Source organism: Homo sapiens, chromosome 8 (assembly GCF_000001405.40).
Source record: "Homo sapiens chromosome 8, GRCh38.p14 Primary Assembly".
NCBI lineage: Eukaryota > Metazoa > Chordata > Mammalia > Primates > Hominidae > Homo > Homo sapiens.
In genome coordinates this window covers 2900171-2924912 of record NC_000008.11, presented here as the reverse complement: position 1 = coordinate 2924912, position 24742 = coordinate 2900171, and the positions used below count along the sequence as shown (strand labels likewise).

The window sequence follows — 24742 nt, the reverse complement described above, 5'->3', positions numbered from 1 at the left end:
CAGAGTGCCGGGATTACAGGTGTGAGCCACTGTGCCCAGCGTATGTTTAATATGTTTTTAAGCCGTCAAGACGAATACTCAAATTTTGCATCTAGTCATGTTTTTCAAAGTGTAAGCCCACTACCACTCCTGGAACTTGAGATAATTTTAGATCTTACATGGGTGAACATTTGTAATAATTTTATATTTTAATGTATTGGAAAATGTAAGTATAAGCAGTTTAAGTTGAAAATAATGTAAAATGAATTGATTTAGGTTAAAAATGTTGGTTTAAAATTGGTAAGAATTAATATAGCAAAAATCATAAAAATAAAACTGAATGAAATTTAAAAAAAAAAAAAGAAAAGAAAATCTAACTTAGGAGCATGTCCCTGTAACAATCGCTAAGACTTGGCCAGTCCCAGCAGCCATAATTCAACCACTCATACACTTCTGAGTGTTCAAACCGTGTTCAAATAAGGCAAATGCCAAACTGTAACCAATCTAGCTGTTCTGTACCTCACTTCTAATTTATGTACATCATTTCTCTTTTTTTTGTCTAAAATCTCCTTCCACCACGTGGCTGTGCTGGAGTCTCTCTGAATCTGCTGTGATTCTGGGAGCTGCCTTATTCGCGAATCGTTCTTTGCTCAATTATACTCCTTTAAATTTAATTTGGTTGAAGTTTTTCTTTTATCATAGGTAAAAAAAAAAAACTCTCACAAATCCACTAATGACATAGATTTTATGCTATAAGCTGTTTTGAAAATGTGGATATGAGTTTTTGATTGCTTGGTTTGCTATTTAAAAAGTTGAAATGTCTTGCCATATGCAACGCTTTGATTTAGAATCTTGCACCGATGAGAAAAAGAATTTGACTGACCCAACTCGACCTCATCATCCAGGAATCTCCTGGTTGCATCTTGGTCACAGGTCACCTGTGGAATGATAAATTCTATATGAAGATCTGATTAGAGATTTGCTGATGTGAAGGACATACCAAGAAAATTCACTCCTTGTCCCTTCCTTAGAAAAATCCTCATCCTTCCTAGAAAAATGCCTGAGCATCTCAGTCAGGCCTGCATTCGCATTGTGGTCCCTTCTTCTTGGCCGTAGGCATTGCTTCAGGGATGGATTGGTGACCAAAATGAATACAGGGGGAATTCTAGACCTTTTCTGTAAAGTTTGAAAACAAAATATTCTCTTTTCTCTCCACAGGCAGCTCGAGGGATATCTCTAGGAGACTCAACAGCCACCTGCTCACCACAGTGGGAGGGAGTCAGGGTAAGAATGATCAGCCCAGAGGCAGGGGAGCTGATGGTGGTCTCAGTTCTGGAGTTCTGGATCCAGGACCACTCCTGTCTATGAGATGGTGAGGTTCCATGTCTTGCTAGCTTATTGTGGGTGGTAATTTTCTATTACTTGAAATTAGAAGATTCCTAAATGATACACACAGCAAATAACTTGAAATAGTTTTCCTGTCTTATTCAATTGTAATACAGAGCTTTATCATCATTATACAAGTTATTACGTATATTTTTAGAAACACGAAAATTGTCTGTGGAGAATATCAGGTGAAAAAAGTGGTTTGACAAAAATTGGAATCAGTGTTAGATTCTTGGAAAAGTCTCTCCTTCTGTAAGTTTTCTGTGGCCTGAGTCCGCTGGCCTTGACAGAAAAGGATAAATGTTCCTCTTGGAAAGAACACTAAAAGCTGAAGTGAAGACCTCTATTTATTTCTGTCTTAGAGAGAAATTTTGAGTGAATGTTCAATAGGCACTTAAATTTCAACTTTGCTAAAAGTGATGTTTACAGCAAAGAATGATTCCTTGCCCATTTTATATAACACAACCTAAATAGAAGGCTGTACTGGGGAAGGCGGATTACTTAACGTCCATTGCCCAGATCATAAATCTCCACTAAAGTCAAACAGTGGCCACAAAAAGGCTGTGGGTAATAAGAAACAGGGGAATCCCTCCAGCAGCCTCATACCTCATCGTGAAATAAAAAGCTCAAAGACATACGTGATGAGCAGCTCTAGCAAAAGATGACAAAGTGATTTCATTATCTGGGTAGCTTAGCAAATGGTCCATACCAAGTGGTACAATCTTTCTCCTACTAAAGAAAGGCTCCTTGTTAGAGCGGAGACAATAAAATGTCACTATACATCATTGTTGCTTCTTAACTGTCACTGTGGGTGGTATTGCTTTCTCTATGGTTAAATGTAGGCGAAATGACTAAGACATTCAAGCAAATACTAATGTGCAGGTGGATATTTTCTTGCTTGTTGGCCTACACATTGGAGGTCCCTGGTCGTCTTAGTCCACTGGGGCAGCTATAATAAAATGCAACAGAAATGGTAATTTGCAAATAATAGACATTTATTTCCATAGTTCTGGAGGCTGAGAGTCCAAGGTCAAGGCACAGGCAGGTTTGGTGTCTGGTGAGGGCTGCTCTCTGCTTCCACAGTGGTGCCTTGTGGCTGTATCCTCTGGAGAAAAGGAATGCTGTGTCCTCACATGGCAGAGTACATGAAAATCAGAGGCAGCTCTCTGAAGCTTCTTTTTTTTTTTTTTTTTTTTTTTGAGATCGAGTCTCGCTCTGTTGCCCAGGCTGGAGTGCAGTGGTGCGATCTCGGCTCACTGCAAACTCCGCCTCCCGGGTTCACGCCATTCTCCTGCCTCAGCCTCCCGAGTAGCTGAGACTACAGGCTCCTGCCACCATGCCCAGCTAATTTTGTTGTATTTTTAGTAGAGACAGGGTTTCACCGTGTTAGCCAGGATGGTCTTGATCTCCTGACCTCGTGATCCACCCTCCTCAGCCTCCCAAAGTTCTGGGATTATAGGCATGAGCCACTGCACCCCGCCTGAAGCTTCTTTTATAGGGGAATTAATCCCATTCATGAGGGTGCAACCTTCACGACCTAATTGCTTCCTGGAGACCCCACCTTCCACTTTCTAATGCCATCACCTTAGGGATTAGGTATCCACATTTGAATTTTGGAGGGACACACCCATTAATACCATAGCAGGGATGATGGAAGAAGTCAACCTACACTTGAGTAGTGGTTACACAGTGGTACTGAGCACCACTGTGTCCAGCTAGGCTGAAGACCAGCAGAGCATCTGAGACCCACTTGCATGCACCTGCGTCAGCTTTCTCACGCCCTGCATCACCTGCCCAAGGACAGCCACCGTGTCAGCATCACTATCCCCATTCCCTCCTCATTCCCATGGCCATTATCCTAGCTCAGGACTTTATGCTATCCCCCAGCTCAAGCACTGTAAACGTTTCCTCATTTGTCTCCTGAACTATTTTCTTCCCTTCAATATCCACCAACTCACTGAAGCTATCAAAGCTTTGTTGTAATTAAAATCTGAGTTTGTCACCCACTAGTTCAAGATCCTTCCATGACTCTCCACTGCTGAGCCATCTGTATTTCTCCTTTGCAAGCACCATAATACTAAGATTTTTATTTTGCTTTTTGTCTGGGACAGGGTCTGGCTCTGTTGCTCAGGCTGGAGTACAGTGGTGAGAACATAGCTAACTGCATCCTCAACTTTGTGGGCTCAAGCAATCCTACCACCTCAGCCTCCCATGCAGCTGAGAACACAGGTGCATGCCACCATGCCCAGTTATTTTTTATGTTTATTTTTCATAGAGACAACATGGTCTCATTTTTTTGCCCAGGCTGGTTTCAAACTCCTGGTCTCAAGGGATCCTCCCACCTCAGCCTCCCAAAGTGTTGGGATTACAGGCGTGAGCCACCACTAAAAATTTTTGTTCCAATTTTGTCGGTTTTTTTTTTTTTTTTTTTTTTTTTTTTTTGAGACAGAGTCTTCCTCTGTCGGCCAGGCTGGAGTACAGTGGTGTGATCTTGGCTCACTGCAACCCTGCCACCTTGAACCTTGAACGCCTGCCAGGTTCAAGTGATTCTCCTGCCTCAGCCTCCCGAGTAGCTGGGACTACAGGCGTGTGCCACCATGCCCAGCTAACTTTTCGTATTTTTAGTAGAGACAGGGTTTCACCATGTTAGCCAGGATTGTCTAGATCTCCTGACCTCTTAATCCACGCACCTCGGCCTCCCAAGGTGCTGGGATTACAGACGTGAGCAACCGCGCCCGACCCAATTTTGTCTTTTTAATTCTGGCTGGATTGGAAGTTCTATAATAAAAAAGATAATAAAAAAGTTATAATAAAAAAGTTCTTGAGTATCTTGTTCACTGTTTTAGCCCAAAACCTCATGGAGTCCTTAACTCAGAATCGATGCCCGCTAATCACTTGGAGGATAAATAAGGACGCTCCATGAGACACACCACAAAACAACTTGCAGACTGTTTTCATTCTCTCATTAAAACATGTTAATTCTTCCTATAAAGCCTGGTGCTAGCTTTTAAGGACACAGGTAGACGAGATGAACCAAGTAGCATGAAGTTCACATTGCACCTGAGAAAACCAGTGAGACACACATTCTGCCGTGGCGGGCAATGAACTCATAAAAATTGAGGTGGACAGGGAATGAAACAGCCAGGTAACTTCATTCTTGTCAAGGTTCTTGTTCTGCTGCAGAACAAACACTTCAGGAAAGCCACCATTCCTCAAGGCTTCCTTTGAATTGTATCCACAGGTAAAGGTGTTGATAAGGCACTAGAGGCGTCAGCAGACGACACTCTTCTAAAACATCTAGGGCTCCCGGGCTGATACTCTGGGCAATCGGTTTCTGTTACATTCTCCTTCTCTCTTTTAAGAAGTTTTCTTCACGTTTTTAGTCATGTGAGACATTGCGATGCCCTCAGATAAAAGGAAGTCAGAAAGCCTCGGAGACTCGGATGATATGTGTGGCTCTCTCAAGCTTGTGTGTGAAGGCACATGAGCTCTTGTTGCTTCTTGAGCTCTGAGATGATGGGGTCGTGCTGCTCCAACAGGCTTCAGTCCTGCGACCTACCTGGGTTTGTGTGTTCCTGCACCCTAGGATCTGGGGCTGAGAAGGGCCGGTGGGTGGGCACAGGGCAAGGATGTCTAAGGACCCTATCTGTTTCCAGTTTCCCCTTACACTAAACTTTCTGTTGCAGCTCTTTATTTGTTTAAAGGGGAGAGTGCCTGGGAGTCAGTGGGGGTGTTAGAGGAGTGAAGCTTAGGTGTGAAGGTTCTGAGGTGGAAACATCCTGATACTTACAAAGAAAAGAACAGAAAAGAAAAGAAAGAAAGAGAGAGAGAGAAAGAAAGAAAAAAGAAAGGAAGGAAGGAAGGAAGGAAAGAAAGAAAGCAAAAGAAAGCCTAAAACTGAAATATGCAAATGCTGAGGGAATTAGGAGCTACAAGAGCTGGCGAGATGGGCAGGTCCAGACCACAGGGGCCCCTGAGACACTTGTTAGAGTTTAAAATGTAATTGTTCAATGGGATGCATTTAGTGAGGAGATAACAAAGTTAGTTACAAAATAATAATGAGTTTGGAGAGAATACTTAGAAAACAATGTCAAGGTCAAGGAGCCCATATGACAGAAAAAAAACACAGAAGACATGAGCACACACTATCCAAATGTTGCCTTCATTTTGACTGAAGGAAAGAAGGAAAGGCAGGAGGCAGCTGCACTTGTCACGGCGGCAGTACTCACTGTTAATTTATTGTTCTCAGCCCCCAGTCTGCCTCCCGTTGCCCGCTGTGGGATTATGGTGTTGCATGCGCTGAGACTTCCTTGCCAGCCGGCACACTGTTAGTGTTGTGAGCCCAGGGGCCTGGGAGGATGCTGCAGGAGAAGGAGAAAGGGGATTTCTTCCTGAGCTCTTCTTAGAAGAGGCCTGCAGCGTGCACAGGGTGCTCAGGAATCGGCGTCCCTCCCTGTGGGCCCCTGAGCTCTTAAAAGAGGCCTGCAGTGTGCACACGGTGCCCAGGAACTGGAGCCCCCCTCCCTGGGCCCCTGGAGAGCTTCTGGGGTGTCCCCAGCACAGCGGCCACCTCAGCCACCTTTTCTGTGTCCTCTCCAATGCAATCACTGCCTCCGCCCTGGGAAGTGGCTCCTTCTGATTTGTCAGGGAGGGTATTGCCTCAACCTTACAGGTATTAATGAGCACCTAGATCTGTTCTCTCTTCCTGGATCTGTCTGAATTGTTTTGCTTTGCTTTGTTTTTCTCCCTAGCAAGTAATCCTCTTCATAGGTAGGAATTGTTTATATGAAACTTTTTCCTGTGTGGTGCTGTCTCCTGACTTGGTTCTGGCTCACACATCAGTGTTGAACTTACCCTAAGTTCCAATCACAAGTGCCTGTTTTCTACTGACACGCCAATTAGCCCCAGCATTTATAACATTGTTATAAGAACAAAAACATGCAAATGGAGTAAAAACCAATCAGAAATGTAGCAGCAATTGTTCTAGCTAGTTTCTTCTTGAAGGAAAATAGAAGGAAAAGCCTGAGAGATTTTGCCACATACATGAACAGAGGAAATGAGAGCAAGGTTTCCAAACATTTTGTAAACCCTCAGTTAACTGCAAAGCTCAAGAGTTTCTTAGTCGGAAATGCTTGTGTTTCCACTGGCACCTCTTCAGACACAGCCAATGCTAGGGCATCAAATAGTCGGTGATTCACGATGTCTCACCTTTTAAGGTATCAGCATTCCTTCTGAGAAGGGAGCTTGCTTGAAAAATATGAGCACTCACAAATACTTTGGGAGTTGCAATTAACTATGTCTTATTGTGTCTTTGCTTTCTTCCCGTAGAGGGGGAAGTGAAAGTTTGAAGAATGAGGAAACTGCTGGGTGATTTTAACCAGGAGAATAAAACGATCCATGTGGGTTTTTATACAATGATCATCTATTCACCTATTCTGTGAAAGATTTGTTAGTTGGGGACATTAGCAGTTTCCGAAGGAACAGTTAGCAGAGGCAAGAGGTTATTCTATTCAGACCATGGTAACTGAGACCAACGATACAGAAGCCACAGCATAAACATGTTTTTTTGTTGTTGTTGTTTTGTTTTGTTTGTTTTTTCTTTCTTTTTTGAAACAAAACAAAAAAGCAGGAATCTTGCTTTGTTGCTCTGTCTGGAGTGCGGTGGCACAATCACAACTCACTGCGGCCTGGACTGCCTGGGAGCTAGTGATCTTCCCACTTCAGCCTCCTCAAGTGGGCACGCGCCAATACGCCAGGCTAATTTCTGTATTTATTTATTTTTGTAAAGACCGAGTCTCACTATGTTGCCCAGGCTGGTCTCGAACTCTTGGGCTTACGTGACCTGCCCACCTCTGCCTCCCAAAGTGCTGGGATTACAGGTGTGAATGACTTGGCCCAGCCAACGTGACTTTCTGATGGGCTAGTCTTGTGAAACGAATAAAAAGACATGTGACAAAAAGCTCTCCAACTTGGAGTCTTGAGCAACTCCATGAAAATTAGTGTGATTCACAGAGATAGGAGAAACAGGAATTGAGTCCTTTTTTGGCATTATGAATGAAAAACTACGAGGAGGTATTTAAAATATGAAACTCAGGATGAATGAATGGGCTGAAAAAATAAGGTTGGAGTAACCAGCACAGGAAGGATGACTGAAACTGTGGGAATGAATAAGAACTCACAGTGCCCCAGCCCTGCTGACATCACTGCTATTCCCTGAACATGATTTTCTTTCTCATATTTTCACAGTCCCCTGTTAGTTCTTGCCTCTACTTGGGATAATCTTTACCTACTTATAGAATTGTAGAACTGCTACCGAGCCTTCAGGACTCAGCTCAAGTAATCCCTTCTCTAGGATTTACTCCTTGACAAATCCTGTCTAGATTTAACTCTGCTCTTATAGATTAGCACTGGGGTCACTTTCTTTTACACCACTTCTTGGATTGCATGCTGCTTATATACGCATATGCATGTTTCTGCGAAGAACTCAAGAACTCAATGAGGAGATCTTTTATCTTAATTGTATCTTGGTCTCTGCTCCGACATGTAGCAGAGGCTCAATAAATTTTATTAAAACTTAGCTCAGGGTCTTCTAGTCCTGAGCATGAAAAATTCGCTGATATTAAATGCAGACTCTGTTGAAACTATAGTAAAACCTGGATAGAGGATATAAACAGCCATGTAGAAGCAACAGATGCCAATGAGTGCAGGGTTGTAATTCTTGACAGAAGGCATCACGTGGCTGCTGGGAGCCAGGTCTCCATGATTTCCTGTCTTGCTGCGTGTCTAGACAATAGGGGCGTGGATTGGCATTTGTTTCAGACAATCATTCAAAGATTGTTACACAGCAGAAAGTGCTCAGAGATAGTCTCCTCCAGAGCAAAGGTCAGGCAGGTTTATAGCACAACGTTATGTAAAAAACACAATCAGTTTCCCTAGCATTGAAGGGTTCCTCAGCTGTGAGTCAGTTACTCCACCTACCTGGATCTGTGTAAATCATCCCCCTGGGATTTGGATAGTAAGGGGAACTCAGGCACAAGGAAAGCTCATACTGATTTCTCTGCTGTGAGTAACCGAGATTTTTGTCTCTGATCCAAGGCTCTTGTGCCTCCTCGAAGACCAACATGGTAGCTTGGACGTTGAGTCAAATCAGACCCTTCACAGTTCTTGAAAGTTGTTGGGAAAGAGAAGATGAAATGCAGACAGAGACGTGACTCTGGAAGAGAAAAGGTGAGGACCTCACAGACCATGTTTAGAGATTTAAAAAGACTTGCTGAGATTCAACAGTAAATGCTCTAGCCCGGGGAATGAGTGCTGGGGCTGGGAGGGTGAGGCTCCCACAGAGTCTTGCCTGTCTGGCCCTGAATGTTTAGAGGCTGAGCAGCAGGAGGTAGGATTGAAACAGGTTTCCCTTACGGTGCTTTGATTGCTGTTCAGTCTCCCCTAGCGAGAGAAGAAATAAATGTGATCACAACATTGATGCAATGAGCCTCACAGCCCCAGCCAAAAGGCAAGTGTAGCTATGGCTGAGAAGCCCAGAAGTCCCTAGGTCTGAGGCAGATGATGTCTGCCAGAAAAATACAGAACTCTGGTTGCATCAGAAACATTCGAGGTTTGTTTGTTTGAGAAACAAGCAGCCCTCAGATGAAACTGAAGGTCACTGAGCCTGCTTACTGATGCACAATGCAGCCTTCCCCTCCCTCCACGTGCCTTCTTCTCTCTCCTCCTACCCTGACCTCAGCTGTGCCGTGGAGGAAGATGACTGGCGAGGGGTGTGAAGCCCCTATGCACCCAACCAAGGGTGCTGGGGGAGTCCAGAGAGAGATGGACACAAACCTTTTTTTTTTTTTTTTTTTTTGAGACAGAGTCTGACTCTGGTCACCCAGGCTGGAGTGCAATGGTGAGATCTCGGCTCACTGCAACCTCCACCTCCCGGTTCACACAATTCTCCTGCCTCAGCCCCCAGAGTAGCTGGGATTACATATGCACACTACCACGCCCGGCTAATTTTTGTATTTTTAGTAGAGACGGGGTTTCACCGTGTTAGCCAGACTGGTCTCAAACTCCTGACCTCGTGATCCACCCACCTCAGCCTCCCAAAGTGCTGCGATTACAGGCGTGAGCCACCACACCCGGACACACAGACTTTTATAGCTCTGTTGTGCACAGGCACTGAAGTCACCATCCTACTCATTCCACGATGGGAGGAGGCGCCTGGAGTTAACAGAGAGTTTTTAAGCTGCGTTTGCAATGGGAAACAGACACTAACATGACCTACTAGTGGGGCTTTTAGGGCCAATTCAACCACCGTTTTTGTTTCTGCATCTGCAGTGGTGCATACTGTGTGTCACCTTGATGGTCTAAGGGATACCCAGACAGCTGATCACACTTCATTTCTGGGTGTGTCTGTGTGGGTGTTTCCAGGAGAGATCAGAATTTGAATCCAAGGCCTCCTACACACAAGCTTAAATTCACATCCATGTCTACCGCCTTCACATCCTGGTCCCCACATCTCAGGAGGGAGTTTTGGTCCCTACATGAAACTGTTTCCAGGAAGGTGTCATCTCCTCTCAGCCGCTTCCTGAGTAGCAATCAGGACAAGAGGGGGCTCTAGAGACCTATTTTTAAATTTGTGGATTTCACTCTGACCATTCCTGCATTTTCATTTTCCACCTGGCAGCAACCGTTAGCCAGCCTGGCTGATGCCCCGGCTGGGAGCAGGCCAGACCACAGGGGGTGCGCGATTTGAGGCCAATGCCAGCTCAGTCACCTACATGCCTTTGCTGGGTGGACACAGTGCCCCGTCACTTGCTTGGTCGCCTGGCTGAATTCCCTGCCTGGCACGGCCCTCCACAGTGGTGGACACAGCCACAGGAGGGAGATCAGGAGGTACAGCAGTTCTGTGCAGGAGGAGCCTTAACAATGCCTGCAGCATCTGCGTGCAGTCGCCTTGGAGGACAGCGGGTGGAAGGAGAGACATCGACGCCCTTTGTTGTGTGTGTGTGTCTGTGTGTGTGTGTGTGTGTGTGTGCCGTTGGGGGCTACAGGCTCACAAGGAGCAAGAGAGAAGGTTTCTGTGGGATGGTGCAAACATCCCTTCTGCCTGGGGGCTGAAGATGCAGGCCTGTTTCGTTTATGAGAATGCTTCAGGTTGTAAACCTGTGACATAATTTTCTCTCTATGCATATTGCAATCAATACCACATTTAAAGCATACTAACAGATTTTCTTAAGGAAACAAACAAACAAACACCCGTTGGCTCACATATGTAAAAAGGCTTAATCCCTGTCATGCTTAAGAAAATACAGGCCAGGTGCAGTGGCTCATACCTGTAATCCCAGCACTTTGGGAGGACGAGGTGGGTGGATCACTTGAAGCCAGAAGTTCGAGACCAGCCTGGCCAACATGGGAAACCCTATTTTTATGAAAAATACAAAAATTAGCTGGGTGTGGTGGCTCACACCTGTAATCCCAGCTACTTGGGAGGCTGAGGCAGGAGAATTGCTTGAAACTGGGAGGCAGAGGTTGCAGTGAGCCAAGATATCACCAGCCTGGGAGACAGAGTGAGACTCCACCCGCCCCCCCCAAAAAAAAAGAAAATCCAAAAAAGTACAGTGCCATGATTGATGATGTTTTGTCTTTGAATTGAGAACTAAAAGTATGATACATAACTTCCGTCTTAAAAGTATGAACACAAAATATACTCTTAGACACAGCTAGTGAGATTGCAAATTGGTACAATTTCAATGCGAAATTTTCTTAAAACTAAAAATGCTTCCACCCATTAAGTAATATACTTTTCACCTACAACTGTGATTGCGCATGGGTCAATATCTTATTTAAAATTTATAACATTTGAGGCGGGTGGATCATGAGGTCAGGAGTTCGAGACCAGACTGACCAACAGGCTGAAACCCCGTCTCTACTAAAAATAAAAAAAAAAATTAGCCGGGTGTGGTGGCACCTGCCTGTAATCTCAGCTACTCAGGAAGCTGAGGCAGGAGAACTGCTTGAACCCAGGAGACAGAGGTTGCAGTGAGCTGAGATTGTGCCACTGCACTCCAGCCTGGGTGACAGGAGGGACACTCGGTCTCAAAAAAAAAAATTATAACATTTGTTAGATTTAATAACAACACTTTAGAAATAGCTGCATGTCTTCAATAGGGAACGGATGAAATAAATTATGGTATGGGCACAGAATTTAAGGCAAAACAGGCATCAAAATATTATAGAAGTTCTCTCTGAACTGGCATGAAAGACATTTGAGATGTATAATGTGAATGAAAAATGGAAGACATCGATGACTCCATCCGGAATCCTCAGAACTTGCTAAGGAAGGAGATGTTGTGTTCTCAGCACACACACAAAAGAAAGGAACTATGTGAAGTGATAGATTTGTTAATTAGCTCCACTGTGGTCACCAGTTATAGTGTATATGGACATAAAAATCAGGTTGTAGACTATACATATATATTTTATATTATTATGTATACTAAATAAATATATAGTTACACAATTTTTGTCAGTCTACTTCTGTAAAGCTGAGAAAGCAACAGAAAGGACTCTTACATTCCTGTAAAATAGAATTCTGATTTAGCAGCATATACAAGAAACTGCATTGCACGTCTCTAAGAGGATGTGGAGTAAACGCAAGGGTGAGCTGGGAAGCATCCTCAGCCACATGATGCTGGCATCTTTACTTATCTCGGTGAATCCAAGTAAACACAAGGGTGAGCTGGGAAGCATCCTCAGCCACATGATGCTGGCATCTTTACTTATCTCGGTGAATCTGAGTCAACATCAATTTTAAGACGTGCCATTATTTTATATGCCGTTACAGAAAGACATTAAAAAGAACAGTGCTAATTCCAATGTCATACATCTTGGATTGTAAGACATATCCCCCATAGTTCAACTGCTGCCATGTGAAAGTGTAAAAAAAGCACATTGGAGAATCTATGAAATCCTGTGTCTTCCGTTGTTTGTTCTTTGTATCTCTTGACCCTTATATTACTTATTCAAAGTCATATATTAAAGTCAGCTGTCTTATTTTTTACAGTTTGATTCCACTGAAAAGTAGTAAATATTATATATAATAAGTTAAAAGTATGCTAGGGACCCTAGAACAGGGGAGCTGTTGCATGGACGTAGTACAGTCAAATAGAAAGATAATGAACAGAACAGGAAGCTAAACCCTCTAACTGCTGGTATTGCAGAAAGAAGAGGATGTTCTACTATTCCTGCTAGCCATAAAGCTGATGTCCTTGGATGGCTACCAGAAAGGGAAAACAGTGACGCGTGCTCAAATGTGATACAGGCAGGGAGCTGCTTTGCGTCTTGAAATCTAATTATTGTAAATATTTTAGGAGTAAAGAATAAAATAATATTCATTTCATTAAAGAGAAATATGTGTAAAAATAAAGAAAAAGAAATGCCACTCACTACTGCATGTGACTATATAGAGCATAAAGTCCATTGGTGTAAACTTTCTGCAAAATAAATAGTGACGTGCCTTTAGATTTGGAATAGGGATTACTACACATAATATTTATGGAGCATTTATGATGTGTTGTAAAGTATTTAAGCTCCTTACATGTTAACCGACGATTGAGGATCCTCAGTGTATAAACAAATCACCTCCGCTTATTTTCCTGCAAAGCTACAATCTAGTTAGCTAATTAGAAATAAATGAAAATTTCTAGACCTGAAATGAAAATCTGACTCATGACTCTAGCTTAGTGGCTTAAATGACGTTGCATAGAAGTCATTGCCTTCCAAATGATATTTTGCTATTCAAGTGGAGAATTTCCATTATCCATCAATTGGCCTTTTTATTTCATTGTGCGCTTATTAGCTGTAAAATTTAATTATGCATTAAACTCTAATTGATGACATTAAGGGTGTCCAAATGGCTCTATCATTCAGTAGAAACAAATTGTAATTATTATGTGGCTTTGTTATGCTGTACAGCAAATAAAGAAGTCTATTCCATATATTGTGTGCATTTTACTCCTAAAAATTAGCAGGATCTCAGAATCATCACATTAATTGTACCCTAAGATTCAGATCTATGCTTGTCATTCAATCTTAGTAACTTATTAATTAAACATGTATTTACTCTATGTAGTCTGCCTTCAAGATTCTGTGTTTTCAGATGCCCTGACTGCATTTTAGAAAACATTAAAAATCTTGGCAGAGTTTGTTTTGTTTCTTTTGTAAATATCCACATAAAGCTATGCTCAATTGGAAGTAGATTTGAGTTGTAGGAAATATACAAACTCTTTATAGCCATTACAGTATTTTTATATTCTTCCCTTACTGTTTTATTTTTAATTTGGCTTTCATTTATCGTAGAGTTATACTTGCCTATAATTTAAAGAGTCCATGGGTTTTACAAGGTATCTCAGTTGCCCATACTCCGTCCCACAGGCTCGCATGTTCAATTCTTTTAATTAATTATTTTTTAGAATTTACCTCTATGATTGTAAATAATATCCTCTGATCACTATTTATTAATTTCCAGTTTGCAGCAATATATATTGCATTTCAGTTATGGAAAGGGGCAATTTGCCTTGCTTTCACTCCTTCCTCTCCCCATAATCCTTCCATTTCTCCTTCTTGCTTTGCTTTTATATCATCATTTTGCTTAGGATGATACTAACCCTCTTGTTATTATGTGACTGCAAATAGTCTCATCGCTGAGCCATATACACCCCAGGAATAATTTTCATTCCCTGAACAACCCTACTGCTGCTAACAATCTAATTTCTTCTACTGCCCCATATACTTAGTTTCTTTATTTACGGCACAGTATGAATTTTCTATCAATTTGGTGTTCTACCAACTTCCCTTTGCATAATAAATCTTCCCTAGAGGTTTTTGACCTGTTCCCATTTGCAAGATCTCCTTCCAGGCCTGTTTTACAGATGCAATCCTGGCCTCTCGTCCCTGGCACTCCAAGGCTGCTATCTCTATTTCCTGCACTGTGTTCCTAGCCTCCCTCAGTTTACCTCCACACCACTTTAGATTTAGTCTCCTGTGTGGGTCACTCACACCTCCCACAGCATCCTGTGTGTGAGCATTTAGGGGTTACATTTTTGAGGCCTTGCTTATCCAAAATTGTCTTTAATGTATCATCATGCATAATTGATGGCTTTGGGATAGATACTAATTTAGAAATATCTTTCTTTAAGCTGTGAAGACCATGCTCCATCTTCTAGCTTTCACTGACATTATTGACAATCTAATGCTATTCTGAGGTCTAAGAATACAGCATGTTTACTTCTGTTGATAAGCTCAGGTCTTATCTTTTTTCCAGTATTTTGGAATTTCATGATGACAGCCTTTGGTGTGAGTCTATTTTCACACTGTTGTGGGTTCTTAGTGGGCCTTTTGTATCAGTAACACACTCACTTCTGTTTTTCTCTGTTCTGTCTTGAACTTTTCAAATATTAGAACTTGAACTATTCTACTGAATGTATTCTTTTTCCATATTTTCAATTTTTCTGTCTCTTTTGTCTACTTTCTAGGAAATAGAATTCACTTTATATCCAAAAACCTTCAGCTGAGTTCTTTTTCCTTTTCTAATGGTTTCTTCTAAGGGGTGTGTGTGTGTGTGTGTGTGTGTGTGTGTGAGAGAGAGAGAGAGAGAGAGAGAGAGAGGAGAGTCCATGTGTGCACGTATATCGTCCTGTTTTGTACATTCTTTGACTTCTCTGAATATACCAGTGATATTCTTGTTTTGTTTTCTGTTTTCATTCCCCTGCACAGTCTCTAATTCCTCTATCTTCATTGTTTTCCCATTTATTAGCCTCTAATTTCATATCAAAGCCTTTTTCAAAGTGTGTGAGGAACTTTCTCTCTCCATTCATATTTTAGAATGGGACATCAAAAGATGATTGAGAATTCTTTTTTTCTTCATTGAGGTTCATAGAATATATGTTTCACTATAGATTGATGTGACTAAATTGTTTAGTGATCAATCCCTAATGTCAGCCTCTTCAAGTATCCATTCATCCATTTAACTATTCGTCCATCCATCCATCCATCCATCCATCCATCCATCCATCCATCCATATTGCCTAATCTACCTATCATCTATCTATCATTTTATCCATCCAACTATTTACCCATTCATCCATCTAATCTATTTATCATCCACCTAATCTGTCTATATGTCAATTAATCAATCAATCTTGTGATCTAACCTGTCTATTCAAACAGATTTGATTCGCCCAGGAAAGCATTACCAATCACCTGCTTTGAGGAATCTTTGTTACCAGTATACAGGAGTCATTAGGGAGATGGCTGATGTTCTCAGCATTCATTACTTGAACTTGTGCTAAATATCCCTATTTCAATCCGGCAGGTTCTCATCCTTAAACTGCCTCCTGATACCCAGTCATATTGCTTCTGAGTACCTGAATACTGCATTTCTGGTTATTGTCTAGGATGGGGGAAGGCAGCAGGGGTTTGCAGTGAACTGGGGGTCTCTTCCTAGAGTTCCCACTGGAAATTAAGGTTAAACTTATATGTGAGGTGATTTGCTGGTCATTCAGATGGTTTCCTGCTTCTAAACTTGTGCTGTAGTGAATGGAGAGGTTAGATCACAAGACTGATTGATTGATCTAATATCACCTTATTTCCTTTTCTTTTGTTCTTGTGCATCTATGCTTTTCTTAAACCCCTTGACTGTTTTTGTGAAAATATTCACCAGTGATCTAATCTTTTTACTGCGAACTAGAAAAAAAAACAGAACTGGAAATATAATAAATTGGCCAAAAGCACATCCTATTCAACCACCTCTTAGGCTATAAACAGAACATTTCCACCATCACGGAACCACCTCCAACCCCTGCAGATATAACTAAACTTCCCACCTGTCTAGATGTAACCATCTTCCAGGCCTTTAAACTCAATTAGTTTGCCTTTTATCAAACTTTACAATTATATTACAAGTATTTTTAAATTCAGGGGTTTTAAAGATCAGCCATGTATATTTGTGAAATTCAGCCCTTTATTCACATTTAGCTATAGGTAGTTTGTATGTGTTACTGTGGCATATCACACTGTGTCATACAGTATAATTTATATCTATGTATGTATTGTGTAAACATAAATTGGAAGGTCTATTGGACATAGACTCAAGATTAAAAATTTCAGGACCAAGGACATGCGTATGTTGGGCTTTAATAGATAATTTTAAGGTGTTTTCTAAAGAGATTATACCTTCAGTACTTTCACCAGCAGTGTGTAAGTGTTCTCAGTATTTAATATCTTTGCCAATACTTTGTATTGTCAATGTTTAAAAGTGATACATTTCATTTAAGTCTTTCTGTTATGTAAGTAACGCTTCCTTACAGTGGTTACAGTCTGCATTCCCCAGATTGCTAATGCTATTAGTTATCTCTTTAAATGTTTACTGTCTGTTTCTTTCTCACTGACGAAACCATGAAGGATAATACATTTTTGAGTGTGTGTGTGTGTGTGTGTGTGTGTGTGTGTGTTGGAGGAGAGGAAGAGTTTCTAATCGTGAGGTTTACTTTTAGCACTTTTGAAGCTTCAGTAAGTTGCCTTTATTCTTGTTTGGGAATTTTTAAAAATTTCCTCTAAATTTTCAAACTTACTGGCAGAAAATCTTTCACAATAAATTTGATGAATTATTGAATGTATGCAGGATTTACACTGATGTCATCTTTGCCAATTCTTGATTGTTAGTTGTGCCCTTACTTTCTCTTTTTTTATATAAATATTCCTACAGGTTCAGATTTAATAATCCTTTCAAAAAATGAACATTTGACTGTTAACCTTCTTTGTCTTTTGTTTTATATTTCATTGATTTTTGGTCTTATCTTTATGCTTTTTTTCTCTTCAGCTTTCTTTGAAGTTACTGTTTTTCTTGACTTTTGGAGATGAAAGACAACCTCATTTAATTTTAATTTCACTTTAAAAAAATGTACATTCCAGATGTTACAACTTCTTCTAAACATTATTATGTTCTGCACCCATATATTTCAATAAAGACTATTTTTATTATCGTATACTTTAAAATATTTTCTAATGTTTATTTTAAATTCATTGGACTTTTAGACTTATACAATCTATCCCTCAATTTCTAAATATATAGATTTTTAAAAATTTTCTGGGTTAATTGTGCTATAGTCAGATAACCTATTCTGTATGATTTCAATTATTTGAAATGTGTTGGGACTCACTTGTGGCCAAGAACATGGCCATTTTTTGGTAAATTCCTGAGTGTGCTTAAAAGCGTCTGCACTCCCCTAGGAGTATAAAACATCTACATATGTCATTTAATTCAAAATAGTTCATTCTGTTTCCAAAACTCCTATATCTTTACTGAATTTAAATATCTTTTTTCTTCTCATTTATGAGCACCATGTGTTAAAACCTTGCTACATTATGAATTTGTGTTTTTGTCTTTTGTGGTTCAGTACATTTTTATCTTATATAATTTTAAAGCTATGTTAGTAAGTGAATTAGAGTTGTAGAACAATTACATATTCCTGGTGAATTGAACCTTTTATCAGTATGAAATATTTCTCTGTCTTGTGAGAATGCTTTTTATTTAATTTATATTAATATGAGATAAGATTTTACAGTATATAAAATATACAATTTTTTATTGTATTTATTTTTAATCAGCTTTTATTAATGCAAAATTCACATAAATTCATATAATTTTACTGATATAAAATTCAGTGGGTTTTTTTTTGAATATTCACAATTTTGTGACTTCATAGCAACTATCTAATTCCAGAAGGTGTTCATCAGCTCATAAAGAAATCCCATATCTCCCGATCTCTCCCTTACTTCCCCAGCCTGTGGAAACCACCAATCTAATTTGTCTCTTTGGATTTGCCTATTTGGGACATTTCATACAAATGGAATCATACATTATGTGATCGTTTGTATATGATTTCTTTCACTTTGCAAAATATGTTCCGGCTTTATCCATACAGTAGCGTGTAGGAGTATTTCATTCTTTCTATGACTTCATATTTTATTGTATGTGCATACAGCATTTGCTTCTTCAACCACCTGCTGAAGGGCATTTGGGTTGTTTCCACTCTGGGGTATTATAAATAATTTTTCTATAAACTTACATGTTCTCCTTTCGTGCAAACATACGTTTTCAATTCTTTGTGGTGTATGTCTAGGAATGCTGTTGCTAGTTTTATAGTAAATCAGTGATTAACTTTTTGAGAAACTGCCACACTGTTCTCCTCATGGCTCCACTGCTTTGCGTTCCTGCAGAACGTGTGGACTTGCCGATGTCCTCATATTTTGTCCATGCCTTTTTTTAATCTGTCTTTGCTGTTGTTGTAGCCACCCTAATGACTGAATGGTGTTTTAGTGTTGGTTTTAATTGCATTTGCATATTTTCTTTGGAAAAATACCTGTTCAGATTCTTTGCTCTGTTTCTAATTGGGTTGCTTGTTGTTGGTTCTGTTGCTGACTTGTAAGAATCGTTTTAATATTCTGAATACAAGACTTATCAGGTGGATGGTTTGCAAATATTTCCTTTAATTCTCTGGGTTTTGGTATTGGTTTCTTATCACTATTATCGCTGACTTATCACTATGTCTTCCTGTACCAGAAGTTTTTAATTTTAAGGAAATATAATTTATCTATTTTTTTCTTCTTCCTGCTTTTGGTGTCATATTTAAGAAACTATTTCCTAATCTGGGGTCACAACGATTTTGATCATTGTAGCTTTGTTGTTAGTTTTGAAACTAGGAAGTGTGAGTTCTCCAGCCTTATTCTTTTCTATAGATAGATGTTGCCACTCAGGTTCCCTTGCATTTCCATACGAATTTTAAGATTAGCTTGTCCATCTCCACAAAAACGATGAAACAAACAAAAAACATTGTTGAAATTTTGACAGGGTAGGGACTACATTAAATCTATTGACCGAACTCTGAACTTTTGACTTTTTAAGAATACTAAATATATGTTTTGTTGTGTTGTGTTTTCTTGGCTCTTCACTGTGAGAGCTGAGCTGTGTTCCTGGAGTTAAAACCCATTTATATGCGGTGCCCCTAAGACTGATGCCCCATGAATTTATCACCGTTGCACTAGTCCACTCGGCCTCCAGTAATACATCCAAGTTACTATATGTCCTCCTAGCCATTGATGGCTCCATTGACCTGTGCTCCAGGAAATTGATCTCTGCTGTGATTCTTTGCATTCTCCTGTCACTCCAGACTTCAGGGTAGTGGTTCCCCCTTTAATCTAAATTCTCTGTTGGGGCTAAGATAATCCATTGGTTCTCAGTTTGTTCTGCTTCTTCTTGTGTTAAGGATGAGCATGGTGACTCCTAGGCCCTTTCTATGTCAAAAATAAATCTGAAAGTCTCCATTGCATTTTAAAACTTTGTTGTAAATCATGTGGGCTTTTGTTTTGTAATTTCCTGGTTATTTTGCATGCCTGCTGATCATTGTATATGAAAAAACTTTATTACTTCAGCTGACATATCTCCACTTAGAGACAATTTACATTTGCTTCTCACAGATGAACAGCAGCACCAATAATCCAGATCACCTCAATCCAATTTCAGGGATTAAGTTTATTGTAGCTAGTCTTCTTACTTTGAGGCCAGTCTACTTATGGGTTACCTACTCATAGGGTCCAGCCCTTTGGCATCTTGTCCTGATCCATCAGGAGTTACTGCTTCCTAGCAACCCAAGTACTTCAATATTGGTACCTCAGTTCGATGAAGCTCTCCAAAGTTTGGAGTCAGTTTCTCAGCTAACTCATCTGGAATTGGCAATCTTGAATAGGAGAATCCAGACAGTAGATTCACTATTGTTGGTTTCCTGATTTATTTGGCTGTCAACCAAAAGTCAAAATTATTACTTGAAGCTTTAAAAATATTATTGTAAATGGCATAATTTTCTAAATTAGATGTTCTTGCTGATAGTTTATTATATACATAAAAGAAATTGGCCCTTTGTCTAAAAAGTATTGAAATTTCCTAAACTTCTTCAATAATTTAAAATATATGTAAATTACTTGGGGATTTCCATGGGAAAAAGTGTATTTTTTCAAATAATGCCTTCTATCTTTACAATAACCATATCTTTTTCCTTATGTTTTACCACAATGGCCAGAAATTTTAGTACAATATAAAATATACATTGTAATATAGGGTATCTTTATCTTATTCCTGTTCAATATTTCAGCAATAATTATCATGATTACTAGATTTTTTCATGTTTATTCTTCATTAGATAAACAAGTCATATAACATATTTTTTCAAGAGGCTTGGTTCTACTTTTTATTCATAAATGGTACTGATTTTCATCAAACATCTTATATAGATTTATCAAGATATACATATGATTTTTTTCATTTAAAATTAATAAAATGGGTCCAGGAGCAGTGGCTTACTCCTTTACTCCCCTCACTTTGGAAGGTCAATGTGAGAGATTGAGTGAGCCCAGGAGTTTGAGGCTGCAGTAAGCTGTGATCACAAAAGCCTGGGCAAAAGAGCAGGTCCCCATCCCTAAAATAAATAAATAAATAATATGATTAACATAATGAATTAAATTAACTGTTTTAATATTATATTAACTCACATTTCTAATCTAAATCCAATTTATTCATGATCTGTTATTATTTTTATCTACTGCTAGGTTAATCTTACTAATACATTATTTAACATTTTTGTACTAATGTTCACAATGAAAACAGTCTATCATCTCTATTTTTAGGTACAACTCTAATTTGATATGAAGCTTTTGGTAGCCTCATTAAATGATTAGACTTCCGTTTCCTCTTTTTATTATCTGTTAGATTTTATTAATACTCATATGATCAGCTCCTCGACAATGAGGTATTAGTAACATATAAAAGCTTTGAGCTGGTATTTTCTTTCTGGGAAAGTTTATAACGTCTCATTTCTTTTAGGGTTTTAAAATGATTTATATGTTCTCATTCTTCAGTCCATATTAGCAAATTATGTTTTTGTAGACTTTTAGGTAGAATTTTGTATATTCTATTTTATTCCTAATATTATTTCTCCTTTTCTTTAAGCTTGTTAAAATTGCGTTTATATACGAGATCATCTTAAAGTTTTGGCTTTATTGATCTTCTATATTTTATATTTTCTATTCTATTTATTCTATACTTATCTCCATTATTAAGTTCCTCATAATATCTTTGCATTCATTTTGCTGGTTTTCTTTCTAAAATTTCAAGTCAGATTCTTATGTTACCACAGCACTTGTTCCTTCTAATGTAAGTAATTAAGGCTTAGAAAATGTTTTCTAAGAATTATCTCACTTAAACTGTATGTCATATGTTTTGATATGTATTATTTTTATTATCATTCAGTTAGGATATTTTCTCATTTTCTTTGTGATTTTTGGCTATTATTCTCCATTATGAGCTATTTAATAGTGCATATGTAATCTATAAGTAAGTTATTCAGAACTATACCTCAAGAATAAATTTGAGATCTCTTTTTTAGTCCTGCCTTCCAGTTCAGTAGTATTTAAAACTATTTCCCGTCGGTTATTGTATCCATTCATTGAATATATTTTTAAGCATTATTCGTTGTATTCTGATAAGCTCTAGTTATTTGTCAATTATACTATGCCAGTCTTTATAGATTTCTTTCCAGCCTTAATTTCTTGGTCTACTTCTGGGGTGTGTGTGTGTGTGTGTGTGTGTGTGTGTGTGTGTGTGTGTGTGTATCTGTGTGTGCTTAATTTCCTGCTGATTCTCAATCAGTGTTTTGCTGACTTGCATTTTGTGGATTTCTATTGCATGCTGCTCACTTTTTTCCAGACCTTAATCTGTAAGAATACTTTCAGGCTCAGGCCGAAGTTAAGTTTTCCTAGAAAGAATTTATTTTTCTTGTTCCAGTTACCTGAGTCACTATCAGCAAGGCCATTTAAACTCCCCACTCCGTTTGAGGTACTTCAGACCCAACAGGTAGAGTGAATCCTGTGAATTCAGATGGAGTAATTACGTGGGGGCAGTCTTATGTTCAGAGATTTTTTCTCCATTCATTATGTATCCTTGGAACAGGTGAAGTTTCTGTTCTGCATCTGCCTGGTAGAATTTATTTCTAGTTTACCCTTAGAGTGAATGTAAAGTCCTTTTAAATTCCAGTTTAATGGAGACTTATGCTCAGGTTCCCTAAGCTTCAAGATGTACCTCTTTTGTTACGATTAACTATCAAAATGGACATGCTCTAGGACTCTAAGATTTGGCAAAGTCCACATTCGGCGCCTGCCGTCCTCATGGAAGCTTAACGTACGGGACGTGTTCTACTTCTTATTATGTATGTGACATCATACCAGTCGCTGAAACACTTTAGGCTTCAGGTGCCGAACCTAAAATGTAATGAAAGTAGTAGGCCATCATCTTATTTTTATTAAATGAACAATTCATGTTAGTCTACATTAACTGGCAATGCACGTTAATAATAAAATTTAAGATTTAATAAGGCACTTGATAAACGTTGTTGTAGTGTTTGTGGATTGTGATGATGGTGCTTATGATGACTATTACAATGATGATATGGTAATGACTTCCTAGAAATGAAATAGTGTGTAGAATTGAAGTGTCCCAAATACATACTCTCCTTAGTTCATTATTTAGTTCAAGTTGAACTGTGGGTCAGAAAACACATCAGCGATAAAAATCCAGCTTTACTATTGTCATAGAACAAAAGAATCAAAGAAAAATACATTTGAAAATTATAAAATTAAAGAAGGCTATATTAGAAATTTCCAGAGAACAGTGCCACTTTTATTTCTCCACATTACAAACTTGACACTTTGCTGTATTTACTTTGAGGTGCTAGTATTTCTTGGTTAGATTTTGAAATGTATGTGCGCAAAGCCATAAGCACAGGCATCAAAGTTCTTTCTAATATATGAATTCATCTTGTTAGAAACGCAGAGTCTAAATACTTTTAAATCACATTATATTTCTGTTTTAGGGTTCCAAATAGTAGAAATACTTTCCTGGAATAAATTCTTAGGTGCCAAGTATTTCCAAGAGCAAAAAAGGGGACAGTCTGTAGTTGTTTTTTTGTTTTTTTGTTTTCTTGGCATGCATTGGTAATTTAGTTTTAGTTAACAAGATAGAATGGTACTTATAAATCCAGAAGTGAAAACACAATTTACTCTATCACAGAACTGCAAAGCAATTACAAAATTGGGACATTTCTCAGATAGCTCAGCTACAGGCTGAGGTTTCTTTGATTGGCATCCATCCATTTATTAATCCCTGCTGTTCTGAAGCTGCTGTAGAGCTCTGGTATTCTGTTTGTTCTCAAACAAACGGTGCTCTATACACTAGGGGTAAAAATGGGCATGTTGGCTTTGCAATATTGCATTAACATAAAGTGGAAACACGGGAAAGTCCTGTGACTTTCACATAATGTCATCCAATATACGTGCTGGAGTACGACTTAGACATCAGTTTTTTTAAGATTTGATTTTGTCTGTATGCTTCTGATTGAATTTACAGATGTTCTTGGCGCAGTAATGATCTGCCAATAGCCCTCTTTTCTTAGAGCCCATGCCTTCCCAACTTCTTCATCTGATCTGCTGCTCATCCAAGGAGTACTCTTCTAATTTTTAAGTGACTCAATGTCAAGTCGTGGTTGCTAGGAGCCTCCTCAGACGGTGAGTCCCAGGTTCCCTCACTTGACTTCTGCTTTATTGCTAAGATCAATCACCTCCCTCAGACGTATTTTGCAAATAATTAAGCCCAACCGTTTTTTCCTGGTGGCAATAACTCTCCAGCCAATTTTTGCTTTAATCCCTCTAATTCTAGGATTCTCTCTTGTTCTTACCAGCATCGTCACCTAACAGCAGCAGAAGACTGGGTTGTGGTCCTAAACTGCAGCCCTGATCACTGCTTGGCATAGATGTTCTGGGAGGCCCAGTATCTGCCCAGCTACCTTGCCAGACATTTCTAGCTCTAGGAGTGAGTATTTCTGTACTCTGCTTTCCTTCCTATCAGTCCACCCCGGGAACCTTTTATTAAGTATTTCTCATTGTACTTTCATGCTCAACCTGAAAACAGTTCCTCATCACCTGTACCTGCCCTTTCCCCACTCTCTGTCCTAACCTACCCAGGACCTTCCCAGTCACCTTCTCTATGGTAAAATGGTTACAAACTCTTGGATGTTATATGACACTCAGAACGTTAGTTTTTTTTATTTCAAGGTGTGTTAATATACTGGCAGTAGTGACAGATGTCACATTAGAAGAATGATGTTCACACTAAAATTTTTATACTTGTTTAAATTTTTAAGATGTAATTTTCTAAAGAGCAGCTTTAGATTTCCAGTCAAACTGATCAAAAGGCACAAAGAATTCCCATCTACTCCCTGCC

The 24742-nt window shown here is 39.3% G+C and overlaps 2 long non-coding RNA genes across 6 annotated transcripts in view, besides 1 other annotated feature; one reads left to right on the top strand and one right to left on the bottom strand.

Moving 5' to 3' along the window:
- The window catches only part of LOC105377785 (uncharacterized), a 297276-nt gene that overhangs the window by 99319 nt on the left and 173215 nt on the right, over positions 1-24742 (bottom strand). The window contains exons 8-9 of one of the 5 annotated variants that reach the window (NR_168442.1): positions 8344-8578; positions 5595-5726 (exon numbers count right to left, since the gene is read on the bottom strand). The exons of the other annotated variants lie outside the window; for them this stretch is intronic. This is a non-coding gene — a long non-coding RNA (uncharacterized LOC105377785). The remainder of the gene's footprint in view (positions 1-5594; positions 5727-8343; positions 8579-24742) is intronic. 5 annotated transcript variants of the gene reach the window in all.
- LOC124901871 (uncharacterized) lies at positions 1277-23951 on the top strand. Its single transcript, XR_007060785.1, has 3 exons — positions 1277-1351; positions 8461-8592; positions 23870-23951. It is a non-coding gene; the product is annotated as an uncharacterized LOC124901871 (long non-coding RNA).
- Positions 9992-10286: a silencer, noted in NCBI's record as "tiled region #9194; HepG2 Repressive non-DNase unmatched - State 24:Quies, and K562 Repressive non-DNase unmatched - State 24:Quies". NCBI's record gives its function as "represses a minimal TATA promoter and a strong SV40 promoter by Sharpr-MPRA in HepG2 and K562 cells {active_cell/tissue: HepG2 | K562}" and the evidence as "EXISTENCE:reporter gene assay evidence [ECO:0000049][PMID:27701403]".